Source organism: Homo sapiens, chromosome X (genome assembly GCF_000001405.40).
Source record: "Homo sapiens chromosome X, GRCh38.p14 Primary Assembly".
In the NCBI taxonomy this organism is placed as follows: Eukaryota; Metazoa; Chordata; class Mammalia; order Primates; family Hominidae; genus Homo; species Homo sapiens.
In genome coordinates this window covers 104,646,268-104,660,735 of record NC_000023.11, presented here as the reverse complement: position 1 = coordinate 104,660,735, position 14,468 = coordinate 104,646,268, and the positions used below count along the sequence as shown (strand labels likewise).

The 14,468-nt window shown below is 37.5% G+C and overlaps 1 protein-coding gene and 1 pseudogene across 1 annotated transcript in view; one reads left to right on the top strand and one right to left on the bottom strand.

Moving 5' to 3' along the window:
* Positions 1-14,468, bottom strand: part of IL1RAPL2 (interleukin 1 receptor accessory protein like 2) — a 1,201,631-nt gene that overhangs the window by 1,107,094 nt on the left and 80,069 nt on the right. Inside the window, exon 2 of the mRNA NM_017416.2 lies at positions 1,741-1,841. Within this exon, the coding sequence (NP_059112.1) occupies positions 1,741-1,822 (82 nt within the window). The 5' untranslated portion in view covers positions 1,823-1,841. The remainder of the gene's footprint in view (positions 1-1,740; positions 1,842-14,468) is intronic.
* PHB1P10 (PHB1 pseudogene 10) lies at positions 12,666-13,691 on the top strand (annotated as a pseudogene).

Sequence of the window (14,468 nt, the reverse complement as noted above, 5' to 3'; positions counted from 1 at the left end):
CAAACTCCTTAGCACAAGCAATCCACCCACCTTGGCCTCCCAAATGCTGGGATTACAGGTGTGAGCCACCTGTAATAGCCCAGCTATATGTGTATGTGTGTGTGTGTGTGTGTGTCTATACATACACATATATATTTGTGTGTATATATATATTTATATATTTTATATATATAAATATATATAAAATATATATATATTTTAACAGCCTCTCTTCTCTTATATAATAAGCAAACCAAGGTATAAGACAGAATACATTGACAGCAACTTATTTTTTTTCAGTTTGGATTTTACTTCAATTAAGCTACCATAATACAGATGACTTTTTAAACCCTCGTTTCTTTTTTTCCTTTCGGATCTGCTCCAGACATTATGACATGACCGAGTAAGGAAAATGCAATCTGGTTCAACAGGTTATGTTTGCTGTTAAGCAATCTCTCTAAATATTTTATTTCAGCAACTATCAATTTGAACCAAGATTGAAAGTAAAATGGGACTTCAAAGGTAAAGCAAGGAAAGGCAGCCATGAATGATATGCTGAGCTGGAGAGATAATAGGTAAAATATTAAACACAAATTCAGCTGAAAGAGAGTCACAACATACAAAAGTAATTTAAATATAGACCTGAATCTATAAGAAGAGAAAAAGACAATATATTGCCCTATCTTTATCACTCCAGGATCCTTTGGACTTCAGCAGTGTTACTCTATTTTATAGTCTGTGATAAATCTCTCACTTTTGGAAACATTTATTAATATGCTATCAATTGAAGACAAAACTATTTGTTAGGTATTTCAATTAGTAAGTATTCTTATCTCAGGAAACAAACATTAGCCAAACTCCAAGCACCTCCCCCCAATCCGCATTTTTTGCTTTGAAAAGTAAGCATGCATTTCATTGACTAGATTTGATACTTAATGAGAAAGTAAAGCAAATACATTTAATTCTCAGAAATAAATGAATTAGAAGCCAGTAGAAAGTCTCAACACAATCTTTTGTTTCCATATAATAACACATTCCTCAATGTCTTACTGGAATGATTACAGACAGAAAATCAATTCTTAAAATCTCATGCAAAGTTTGTAATTACAGCTAGAATGTATAATCAAAACTGAAAGACATATATATCCAAGTATTATTAAACAATGATTAAGCTTTGACTGGACTATGTACTGGCTACAGCTAATCTCTTAGTACAGTCATGGCTGCCTGCCAGACCAACATGTTCTAGGAATAGATTTTTCTTCTCGAGAAATTCCTCTTCGGGCAATTAGCTAATAATTCTGAACTTGGAGGCTGTAGACCCCTGCCTGTTAGCAACTGGGTACAACTATAAGGAACTAAAACTCAGATATTTATCAAAGTCTTTAAATTGCAATGCTACACACTCAATTAGGAGGCAAAGGATGTATATTTTTAAAGGTTTCTTACCTTCTCATTTGTAAATGTTTGCTCCCAGGTATTTATTCACTAGCAAATGTAACCAACTCTAAGTAGGCCCTTAACATTTCATTGTCCACTGAGAGTATACTGGTCATTGAAGTTTAACAAAATTCCACTGATTTCCCAACAATTTCTCAGTGGTAGGATTAAACATCATTTTTATTTTGGCTACTTTCCAACATAACTGGAATACGAGTGCTTCTATTTAAAGACATTCATAGTTAAAGGCACAGGTGCCCTCTGGGTGCTCACAAAACTGTACATTTTTGACCAAATAGTGGCAAGTTGCCAGCAACTTACCAGAATTTCTCTTTGACACCATCTTCAGATTTGTGCTGACTACAGAACAGACCACAAGGGCCAAAAGAAATGGTGGCTTCATCCTTCACTTTTCTTGACAGCTGAAAAGTCAAAAAAAAGGATATAAAGTTTGAACCACAGATCTTGGCCTCAACAAAACCACACCTATAATTTTACATTTTTCAAAACTCCATTAGAGAAACAATGACAATCTGGGGTCTTCTGGCTTTATTTTTTGCAAATAGAAGAAAACATGAAAGTTCACAGTTAAACCATGTCAGGTTCCCTGCTTAAAACTTTTCAGTGGCTTCCCACTGGATTTAGAGTGAAATCTGAACTCCTTCCATTAGACTTTCTTTTTCAATTTTTTTGTATTTTTTTATTATACTTTAAGTTCTAGTGTACATGTGCACAACGTGCAGGTTTGTCACATAGGTATACATGTGCCATGTTGGTTTGCTGCATCCATTAACTTGTCATTTATAGAAGTTTTTTCTCCTAATTCTATTCCTCCCCCTGCCTCCCACCCCACCAGAAGCCCTGGTTTGTGATGATCCCTGCCCTGTGTCCAAGTGTTCTCATTGTTCAATTCCCAACTATGAGTGAGAACATGCATTATTTGGTTTTCTGTCCTTGTGATAGTTTGCTCAGAATGATGGTTTCCAGCTTCATCCATGTCCCTACAAAGGACATAAACTCATCCTTTTATATGGCTGCACAGTATTCCATGGTGTATATGTGCCAAATATTCTTAATCCAGCCTATCATTGACAGACATTTGGGTTGGTTCCAAGTCTGCTATTGTGAACAGTGCCATGATAAACATACGTGTGCATGTGTCTTTATAGTAGCATGATTTATAATCCTTTGGTTATATACCCAGTAATGGGATTGCTGGGTCAAATTCTATTTCTAGTTCTAGATCCTTGAGGAATCGCCACACTGTCTTCCACAATGGTTGAACTAGTTTACACTCCCACCAATGGTGTAAAAGCTTTCCTATTTCTCCACATCCTCTCCAGCATCTGTTGTTTCCTAACTTTTTAATGAATGCCATTCTAACTGGTGTGAGATGGTATCTCATTGTGGTTTTGATTTGCATTTCTCTGATGACCAGTGATGATGAGCATTTTTTCATATGTCTGTTGGCTGCATAAATGTCTTATTTTGAGAAGTCTCTGTTCATATCCTTTGTCCACTTTTTGATGGGTTTTTTTTTCTTGTAAATTTGTTTGAGCTCTTTGTAGATTCTGGACATTAGCCCTTTGTTAAACAGGTAGATTACAAAAATTTTCTCCTATTCTGTAGGTTGCCTGTTCACTCTGATGGTAGTTTCTTTTGCTGTGCAGAAGCTCTTTAGTTTAATTAGATCCCCTTTGTCAATTTTGGCTTTGTTGCCATTGCTTTTGGCATTTTAGTCATGAAGTCCTTGCCCATGCCTGTGTTCTGAATGGTATTGCCTAGGGTTTCTTCTAGGGTTTTTATGGTTTTAGGTCTAACATTTAAGTCTTTAATCCATCTTAAATTAATTTGTGTATAAGTTGTAAAGAAGGGATCCAGTTTCAACTTTCTACATATGGCTAGCCAGTTTTCCCAGCACTATTTATTAAATAGGTAATCCTTTCCCCATTTCTTGTTTTTGTCAGGTTTGTCAAAGATCAGATGGTTGTAGATGTGTGGTGTTATTTCTGAGGCCTCTGTTCTGTTCCATTGATCTATATCTCTGTTTTCGTACCAGTACCATGCTGCTTTTGTTACTATAGCCTTGTAACATCATAATGACAGGATCAAATTCACAAATAACAATATTAACCTTAAATGTAAATGGACTAAATGCTCCAATTAAAAGACACCAACTGGCAAATTGGATAAAGAGTCAAGACCAATCAGTGTGCTGTATTCAGGAGACCCATCTCACATTCAAAGATGCACATAGGCTCAAAATAAAGGGATGGAGGAAGATCTACCAAGCAAATGGAAAACAAAAAAAAAGCAGGGGTTGCAATCCTAGTCTCTGATAAAACAGACTTTAAACCTACAAAGATCAAAAGAGACAAAGAAGGCCATTACGTAATGGTAAAGGGATCAATTCAACAAGAAGAGCTAACCATCCTAAATATATATGCACCCAATACAGGAGCACCCAGATTCATAAAACAAGTCCTTAGAGACCTACAAAGAGACGTAGACTGCCATGCAATAATAATGGGAGACTTTAACACCCCACTGTCAATATTAGACAGATCAATGAGACAAAAAATTAACAAGAATATTCAGGATTTGAACTCAGCTCTGCACCAAGTGGACCTAATAGAAATCTAAAGAACTCTACACCCCAAATCAACAGAATATACATTCTTATCTGCACCACATTGCACTTATTCCAAAACCGACCACATAGTTGGAAGTAAAGCACTCCTCAGCAAATATAAAAGAACAGAAATCACAACAAAAAGTCTCTCAGACCACAGTGCAATCAAATTAGAACTCAGGATTAAGAAACTAACTCAAAACTGCAGAACTACATGGAAACTGAACAACATGCTCCTGAATGATTACTGGGTAAATAACGAAATGAAGGCAGAAATAAAGATGTTCTTTGAAACCAGTGAGAACAAAGATACAATGTACCAGAATCTCTGGGACACATTTAAAGCAGTGTGTAGAGGGAAATTTATAGCACTAAATGCCCACAAGAGAAAGCAGGAAAGATCTAAAATTGACACCCTAACATCACAATTAAAAGAACTGGAGAAGCAAGAACAAACAAATTCAAAAGCTAGCAAAAGACAAGAAATAACTAAGAACAGAGAAGAACTAAAGGAGATAGAGACAGGAAAAACCCTTCAATAAAATCAATGAATCCAGGGGTTGGTTTTTTGAAAAGATCAAAAAAATTGATAGACCACTAGCAAGATTAATAAAGAAGAAAATAGAGAAGAATCAAATAGATGCAATAAAAATATGATAAAGGGAATGTCACCACCGATCCCACAGAAATACAAACTACCATCAGAGAATACTATAAACACCTCTACGCAAATTAACTAGAAAATCTAGAAGAAATGGATAAATTCCTCGACACATACACCCTCCAAAGACTAAACCAGGAAGAAGCTGAATCTCTGAATAGACCAACAACAGGCTCTGAAATTGAGGCAATAATTAATAGCCTACCAACCAAAAAAAGTCCAGGACCTGATGGATTCACAGCCAAATTCTACCAGAGGTACAAAGAGGAGCTGGTACCATTCCTTTGGAAACTGTTCCTAGCAATAGAAAAAGAGGGAATCCTCCCTAACTCATTTTATGAGGCCAGCATCATCCTGATACCAAAGCCTGGCAGAGACACAACAAAAAAAAGAGAATTTTAGACCAATATCCCTGATGAACATTAATGTGGAAATCCTCAATAAAATACTGGCAAACTGAATCCAACAGCACATCAAAAACTTATCCACCATGATCAAGTGGGCTTCATCCCTGGGATGCAAGGCTGGTTCAAAATATGCAAATCAATAAATGTAATCCATCACATAAACAGAACCAATGACAAAAACCACATGTTTATCTCAATAGATGCAGAAGAGGCCTTCAACAAAATTGAACACCCCTTCATGCTAAAAACTCTCAATAAACTAGGTATTGATGGAATATATCTCAAAATAATAAGAGCCATTTATGACAAACCCACAGCCAATATCATACTGAATGGGCAAAAACTGGAAGCATTCCCTTTGAAAACTGGCACAACAGGGATGCCCTCTCTCACCACTCCTATTCGACATAGCGTTGGAAATTCTGGCCAGGGCAATCAGGCAGGAGAAAGAAATAAAGGGTATTCAATTAGGAAAAGAGGAAGTCAAATTGTCCCTGTTTGCAGATGACATGATTGTACATTTAGAAAACCCCATCATCTCAGCCCAAAATCTCCTTAAGCTGATAAGCAACTTCAGCAAAGTCTCAGGACACAAAATCAATGTACAAAAATCACAAACATTCCTATACACCAATAACAGACAAACAGAGAGCCAAATCATGAGTGGACTCCCATTCAAAATTGCTACAAAGAGAATAAAATACCTAGGAATCCAACTTACAAGGGATGTGAGGGATCTCTTCAAGAACTACAAACCACTGCTCAACGAATTAAAAGAGGGCACAAACAAATGGAAGAAGAACATCCTGTCCTCATGGATAGGAAGAATCAATATCGTGAAAATGGCCATACTGCCCAAGGTAATTTATAGATTCAATGCCATCCTCATCAACCTACCAATGACTTTCTTCACGGAATTGGAAAAAACTACTTTAAAATTCATATGGAACTAAAAAAGAGCCCACATTGCCAAGACAATCCTAAGCAAAAAGAACAAAGCTGGAGGTACCACTGTACCTAATTTCAAATCATTAGACTTTCAAAGGCCTATAGGTGGAGCCCCCAGGTGCCTCTTTGATCTTATTTCACAAAGCTCTCCTCCTTGCTGCCTATGCTCCAGCCATGATGGTCATTTTTTCTGTTCCTGGAATGTGCCAAGGCATTTTTTTTTCCCCACGGTGTTTGCACTTTGTCTTCCTCCTGAGATACTCTCCACTGTTCACTCAGTTTCTTAACATCCTACATGTCTGAGTCCCACAAAAAGGCCTTTCTCAACTACCCAATCTGAACTCTGTCAATCTCTAGCTCACCTCTTTGTTTGTTTTATTCATAAGACTGATCAGCATTTACAGTTGTTTATGTGATAGGAAGAGTTTTTACACTACTTTGAGTTCATTTTTAAATGAACAGTATTGAGTCTCAAGCACTTAGAATGAAACTCTTCCAAAATCAAAAATAACTGAAAAGGGTAAGGAATTGAACCAAGCTGTTATTAAATCTCCACATCCAATAACAGGGAAAGGAGTTTGTAAAGTGCCACCAGTAGACATTGGGGGTGGGGGGGAAATTATCTTTAAGTTTTTGTCCCTATTGAGTTAAAAAAATCAGTAAATTGGTTACCTATATGGTGGTTCAGCTAGGGTCCTTTAAAATAATCGGAATATAAGTACCACTGAAGTACTTTGGGCTCATGATAAATTCAAGATACAAAAATGGCAATGGGAGGTATGAGGGTGAAACTACAGCAATCACTGAAATAATGAATGGAAGAAAACCTGGAAAGGCAATAGCCTCTGGATGACATGTAAAGGTCCAGTATTCTATGTAAAGATTTTTAAAAATAATTAGTTCGTACCTAAAGGTATAGAGCCTTACCCAGAATATAAGAGTAACAGGGTGATATCAAGTGCTTGGTAGGATCCTCTTTTCCCAGAATTGACCTCAAAGATCTACCTGATATCCTAAATTCAGAAAACTTCCAGTTTGATGTCTGAAGCCACCAGCACAATGAACCAATGCAGCTAGTTCCATATCACCTCACCCCAACTCCATCAATAAACAAAGGAACCTGGAAAGGAGGAGAAGGCTACGTTTTGACAAGGAAAACAGGCTTTTTCTTTCCCAGTTAACCATATACTTACCATTAGACATGCTGAACTTTCCCTGCACCACTGGAGCTAGGATAAAGAACCCTCGGGAGAGGTGGGATATTGGAGATTTCCAGATGACAAGAGGACCGAGACTAATTCTCACCTACTCCCAACACACAGCCATATATGGGTCCCAAGAGACATGGAAAATGAATTTGGCATATGCCCAAAGGTCCAAGCTGGACTAGGTAACTGCATAATTCTTGCCAGAGGCTTTGCAACATGGGGCAAGATGAATGCATGTGAAAATAAAGTGATCTGATGGCACCAGCTGAAGGTCTAACAGAAGATGTAATAATCTTGCAAGGGATTTCCAATGTCCAGAGGAGATGCTTGGAGAAGCCTCCCATCAGCAGGCTGTTATAACTACCTGTTTATATAGTGCCCATAGACAGCTAGAAGAGCAATTGTGACCAACCAAGGAGAAGACACACACAGTCACAAGCATCTGTCTTTTTCCTCTCCCTTTTCCCCAGCAACTCTCCTCCCAAAGCAATAACAAAACAGGCACAGGGGAAAGGGAAGAAATAAGAAGAGATGTATGAAAGGCTACCATACATGTCCCCAAACTCCTAGCCGCTAGAGCCATATGTCCCATCTGTTTGAAGAAAAAGGAAGAGAAGCATTTTCATCAGATAGGGGCTTGGAGTAAGCAAGCCAAAGCTTTAAAATCAGCATGAGACTCTCCTAATATCTGAAAGCAGCTAAAAAGTTATACAATCAGATTGAAATGTTTATCATTGTCCTAATCTCTCAGTGGAAGAGGGTAAATACAACAGAACACAGTAAATAGCAATTAGTGGAAAAATAATACCATTTCAAGTTTATACTCCAATGAGTTGAAACACTTAATGAATCGGTTAAATTTATTAGCTTGGTTGTCTTTGCCTACTCCTTGCCCACTAGAATGTAAACTTCATGAGGGCAGCCACTTGGTCACTAACTGTTTTATTCTCATCACCTAGCATAGAGCCTGACACATAACTAATTAATAAATATTTTTAATGAATAAAAGAACAAAATCTATGTAGATAACATCTTATCAAATGTTTAAATAATGCAAATGAGTGGAAACTTTTAGTGTTTTTTCAAGTTACTCATTTGTTTGAAATAGAACATCTCTTGTCTAACATGGGATTATCCAGATCTGAGAGGTACCATATTTCCTGCTGTCATAAACACTGTTGGTGCCCTGCCCATGTCTTCTTTGACCCATTCTAAAAGTCATCTGCAGAAGTCTTCCTATGTTTCTCTGCCAGAGGGGCTTCTTTAACTGCAAAAGCAGCTTGGCCAGTATAGGAGATGACTAGAAGTGCCAGGTTGTTAATATTCACTAAATGATTCTCAATCAATTGTGAAAGTTCATGAATAAATACCCTAGCTCCCTCACCCTTTGGTATGTTCCAGTAATATTGAGTGGCAACCTGCTTATTTGCTTTACCTCCCTTCCAGTCTGACTTTGCCACTTCCTTGCAGTACTTCCTGGGATCACCTCCCAAATAAACTACCTACATTCAAATCCTTAGAGTTCTGCTTTTTGGAGACCCCAAACCAAGACTGAAAAGACCATTAAGTACTCCACAGGATTCTTTGTTTTCCATAGACCTTATCTGCCAGATCTCCAGATGATTATGTAGGCTCTGAACTTTCAAAGGAAGGCTTATGATTCAAAATTTTCTTGAACAACGTGCCCATTCTAGCTCCTCTGTCTTACCCCCCAATTTAGAACTTATATAACGCCAGTGACTTTGTTAAGAACATTGGCTCATCTCTGCTATAGCTCTTCCTGCTATATATATTCACTTAGTTACCAACTCAACCATACTGGTTAGATTTTAGGAGTCTGCCAAGCTCTCCTTACCGCAAACCTATTCTATCTATGATTGTACCTTCACGATTTCTGTCTGAAAGCTGACAGTGTGTAGGGACCATAACTTGCTAAAATCAAATATCATTTTTATAATTCTGATATTTTATAAATGGTGGCAAAAAAAGTTGATTTGAGAAAGCCCTTTAAAAACTCTGTTTGCCAAGTGGACATTATGTGATCATATTCACCAAAAACATGAACTAGATTTTATAACTGATATTCAGAGATATTTTATGTGGAAAATAACTGATGCAGAAATATTTCTACTTCCCTATTTAATTCACCCCTCCCTATTCTTTGTGAAATAAAATAGTTAATGTTTGACTGTGAATAGGGAAATAATCATTGGAACTGTACAATTTAACTACAGAATTATTTCATATGCTACTTTTCCTGTCAGTTAAAATCAGTCAGAATTAGAAAAAGTGAGCATATAAAGTTTTTAAGTCCATATATTTACCAATCCCATTTCCACAGAAGAGTCAATTAATTCAACAAATTTTGCTGAACAATGATTATACTTTATGATGATAATAATTTATTGAGCACTTTGTGTGGGCCAGACATTGTGCTAAACTGTTATATGTCATTTTATCCTCTCAACAATCTTATGAGTTACTATAATCTCCATTTTACTTTTCAGGAAACTGACATTTGTGACTTACCCAAGTTCATGACATTAATAAATTATGGAAAAAGGATTTGAATGTAGGTCTGTGTGACAACAAACCCCAATCTCTTAACCACTACTGAACGATTTTTGCCCTAGAAGTTAGATGCTATGGGAGTCATAAACCAAGTCTAAGATTATAAAATGTAGCTTCTTTTCTTCAAGGAACTATAACCTCACTGTGGCGATACATGCATAGTAGAGTACTTAGTCAAGTGCAGGACAATGAAGAGCAACCTATATTTGTTAAGTGCTAAGGGAATACCTAGTAAAATAAGTGGTTTTTTTTAGCATGTTCAGTAGGTGATTCAGATTTCCCATTGAAAGGGAAAATCTGTCAAACTGCCTCAATTCAAATAGTCAAAGAGAAAGGCCAGTGTAATCAATCTAGTAGCAGTGTTCATCTACAGCATCAGTCGGCCTGAAATATCATCATTGATCAAGGAATGTCTTACAACAGTGACCACTGGGCTCCCAACATATGGTTCCCACACATCTGTTTCAATAGTAAAAGTTTCAGAAGCAGCTCGAGTTACTCCTGGAAACCTTACACTGAAATTTAGGTTTATTACATTATAACTTTTTCCTGTTGGTGATTTTACAACCAACTTACTGCTGTGTGAAGAAAGTGTACAGGAGCATGTATAATACCTACTATCATGGCAATTATACTGTTATTCAATTATTTCAAAATTACTTTTTTTCCTAAAAAGAGTCTTCCCCCCTGCCATGGCTATAAATATGCAATGGTTCTTATTTCTGAAGTTCATATTCCCCTGAGAGATTTGTGTTTACTGATTCCCTAGGGTTAGTATATAAAAATCCCAAAAGGCCACGTAATGAATTCTAAAGAATGAAGCTGCTAAGACAATGGCTAATGAAGGCATTAGTATTCCTCTCATTGGAGTATCAAATCCTGATATGAGTAATGCCATATTGAAGAGAGAGCTTTAAAACTGTAATTGAACTAAATCTTTTGACAGATAATTGTAATGATGTTATGCTTCAATGACTTTCAAGTATAGTTTGCAAATTACCTTTTTCACTTTATTCCCTTCCTCCCTTAAAGTACCAGATATGTCAGGTTTCTGGTTCATGCTAATTTTTAACAGTACCTATATGGCAAACTCTTGACTCTAGAAACCAAAACACATTTAACTTATGGATACATTTGGACACAGTTAATAGACCCAATCTAAAATATCAGCTAGTTTCAAATAGCACACAATTATAATCATTTCTTGTTACATTTTTGCAATCAAAGAAAATTTTGATATCTTCACAAGGTTTTCATATATGTATATATATGTATAAAATCAGACACGTACATACATATATACAGAGAAAGACAGTTCTTTAGTCAACACACATTTATCTCTATCTCTTACATTTTATAATTCTATAGTAATTTGCAATGAAGTCTGGTATTCACATAGAGATGGCCCTGAGGTCCTATTAGCTATTCAATCAGAAAACAGAGATGCAATAATGTTAACTAGATTCTATCTACTATGGAGGGAAATATGGCTCTCAAACTCAAATTTGGAAAGGACCTCAATAGTTACCTAGTCCAACTTTCAACCAATCAAGAAATCCTTTTTACAGCATTCCTATATCTAGCCTATTCTCAAGCACTTCTGTCATTTGAAAATAACTGCATAAAGTGGCAGCCAAGTCTGTTGTTAGCCCTAACCATTAGAATCAGAGGTAGAAATAAAGAGACACAGAGACTGAAACCAACATAGCCAAAGGCACACAAGTAAGAAAACAGAGATAGCAAAAGATAGAGTCAGGTGGATAGGACACAGAAAGGGAGGGAAAAAAATCGTAGAGGAGAAAGAGAAAAAACATGAAGAAGCAGAGAGAGAAAAAATTAGAAGTGGAGACTCAAAAAGTTGACATAGCAAAAAAGGGGAATAGATAAGAGGAATAGTGAGTGATGAAACATTGAGAGACAGCAGAAGGGACTATCTCAGGAGAGAATGCAAGGAGAAGCAAGTATAAAGAAAAAAACTGGCATAAGTAACTATAGGGTTTCTTTTTGATTTCTGTAGTGATCATAGTCCCCAGCTTTGGGCTCCATACATAGTCCACAAAAATGAAAATTTCATTTCACAGCCTCCCTAGCAGCTGGATATGGAAAGGTATTGAGTTCTGATCATTAAGATATAATCTTGAGTTCTGACCATTAAGATAAAATCAAAAGTGTTATGTGTTACAGGGACTAGTCTTTTTCAGGGTTTCTCCAGCCAGGAAACCTAGAAGTAGTAGGTATAAGGTGTTACAAGCAGTTTAGACAAAAAGTCTTCAATCACACTCATTGATCAATGAGTCTTACTCAATTTTTGATGTGGTGTCTAAATCCCTCATCATCTAACATTTTCTTCCATCAATAAAAGTGTTTGTCAATAGTCTTCTCAAAATTTAATGTACACATTCATATTCTGTTTATGACATTATAAATTAGGACAGCATTTTACAAGGCAATTTGTTAGTATTTGGCAAAAATTAAAGTGCTCAAGAATTGCTTTTGTATGAATCTATACTACAGCAATCCAAATGATTATGCATAAAAATATATGCACATACAAGGATGGTCAATGCAGTATGCATTGTGATGGTGAAAATCTGATAACAGACTAAATACCTTGTCATGGGTAGGGGTGATACATTCATAAATGGAATACTATACAACCATTAAAGAGACTGAGATAAAGAGGTATGGATAGACATGGGTAGATCTACAAGATATATGAAAAATAGATATGATTCCACATATAATGGAAAAATCTATGTATGTATGCATGCCTGAGAATGTGTGTGTATGTGTATGGAAATCTGTAGGAAGAGGTTTGGATGTGTGGCTGGGGAATTCATGTGGAGGTCAGAGTGGAAGCAGGTGTGAGAGGGTCCAGCAGAAGAAAACATGGCTGCCAAAGTGTTTGTGTCCATTGGCAAGTTTGGCCTGGCCTTAGCTGTTGTAGGAAGCATGCTGAACTCTGCCTTATATAATGTGGATGCTGGTCACAGAGCTGTCATCTTTGACCGATTCTGTGGAGTACAGGACATTGTGGTAGGGGAAGGGACTCACTTTCCTATCCCATGGGTACAGAAACCAATTATCTTTGACTGCCATTCTCGACCACTTAATGTACCAGTCATCACTGGTAGCAAAGACTTACAGAATGTCAACATCACACTGCACATCCTCTCCTGGCCTGTCGCTAGCCAGCTTCCTTGCATCTTCACCAGCATCAGAGAGGACTATGATGAGCGTGTGCTGCCATCCATCACTACCAAGATCCTCAAGTCGGTGGTGTCTCACTTTGATGCTGGAGAACTAATCACCCAGAGAGAGCTGCTCTCCAGGCAGGTGAGTGACAATCTTACGGAGTGAGCAGCCACCTTTGGGCTCATCCTGGACGATGTGTCCTTGACACATCCCACCTTCGGGAAGGAGTTCACAGAAGCAGTGGAAGCCAAAGAGGTGGATCAGCAGGAAGCAGAGAGGGCCAGATTTGTGGTGGAAAAGGCTGAGCAGCAGAAAATAGCAGCCATCATCTCTGCTGAGGGTGACTCCATGGAAGCCAAGCTGATCCCCAACTCACTGGCCACCGCAGGGGACGGCCTGATCGAGCTGAGCGTGCTGGAAGCTGCAGAGGACATCACATACCAGCTCTCAGCTCTGAGAACATCACCTACCTGCCTCCTCCAGCTGTCCCAGTGGGGGCCCACCCTGCCTGCACCTCTGCAGGCTGACTAGGCCACAGCCCTGATGATTCTTAACACCACCTTCCTTCTGCCCCTATCCCAGAAATCACTGTGAAATTTCATCACTGGCTTAAAGTGAAGGAAATAAAGGTAAAATCACTTCAGATCTCTTAAAAAAAAAAAGTTTGGAATTTTTGACACTACTATAATCCTTAGGAGGGGAGTGGATAAAGTCTAAGGTTGAAGGGTAATTTTCACTTTTTACTCAATATAGTAATGGTGATCATTAACTCTGTTCTCAAAATACTTAACACCTCTTTGCCTTCGGTCACATGATATGACCGCACTTCCTGGCCCCATTGTGATTGATGGAGTGATGCATCTGGTTCTGGCCAATTATTTGTGACCAGAAGTCATTGCTCACAGTTGCATGTCACTTCCAGGCCAGAGCATTTATTTGTCAATGTGACGCCTTCCACAGCTATCTTTCCTTCTGCCACAGTGACTGGTAATATTTATGATGGTGGTTGCTCCATCACCCTGGGCCACAGAATGAAGAGTCACAGAGCAGAGCTTCTAGCCAACACATTACATAAGTGAAAAATAAAACTTTGTTTTTACAAACCACCAAGAGTTGGGGATTATTACAATAGCATAATCTAAATTATTCCGACTGATACCATTGAAATGTTTAAATTTTAAACTAAATAGTATACTTTCTGCATATATTGTAAAATTAATATGATACCTACAACAGCATACAACATTCTCTATGTAGAAAATACAAAGTGCAATGAGCCTATTATGTACCATGATCTAGATTCAATATCATCGTCAAAATTTAACTATTTCAAGGGCAGAGGCTATGCTTTTTTTTTTTTTTTGCATCCCCAGCACCATTGACTAGAACACAGTAGGTATGCAATCCATTCTTCTTGAATATTAAAT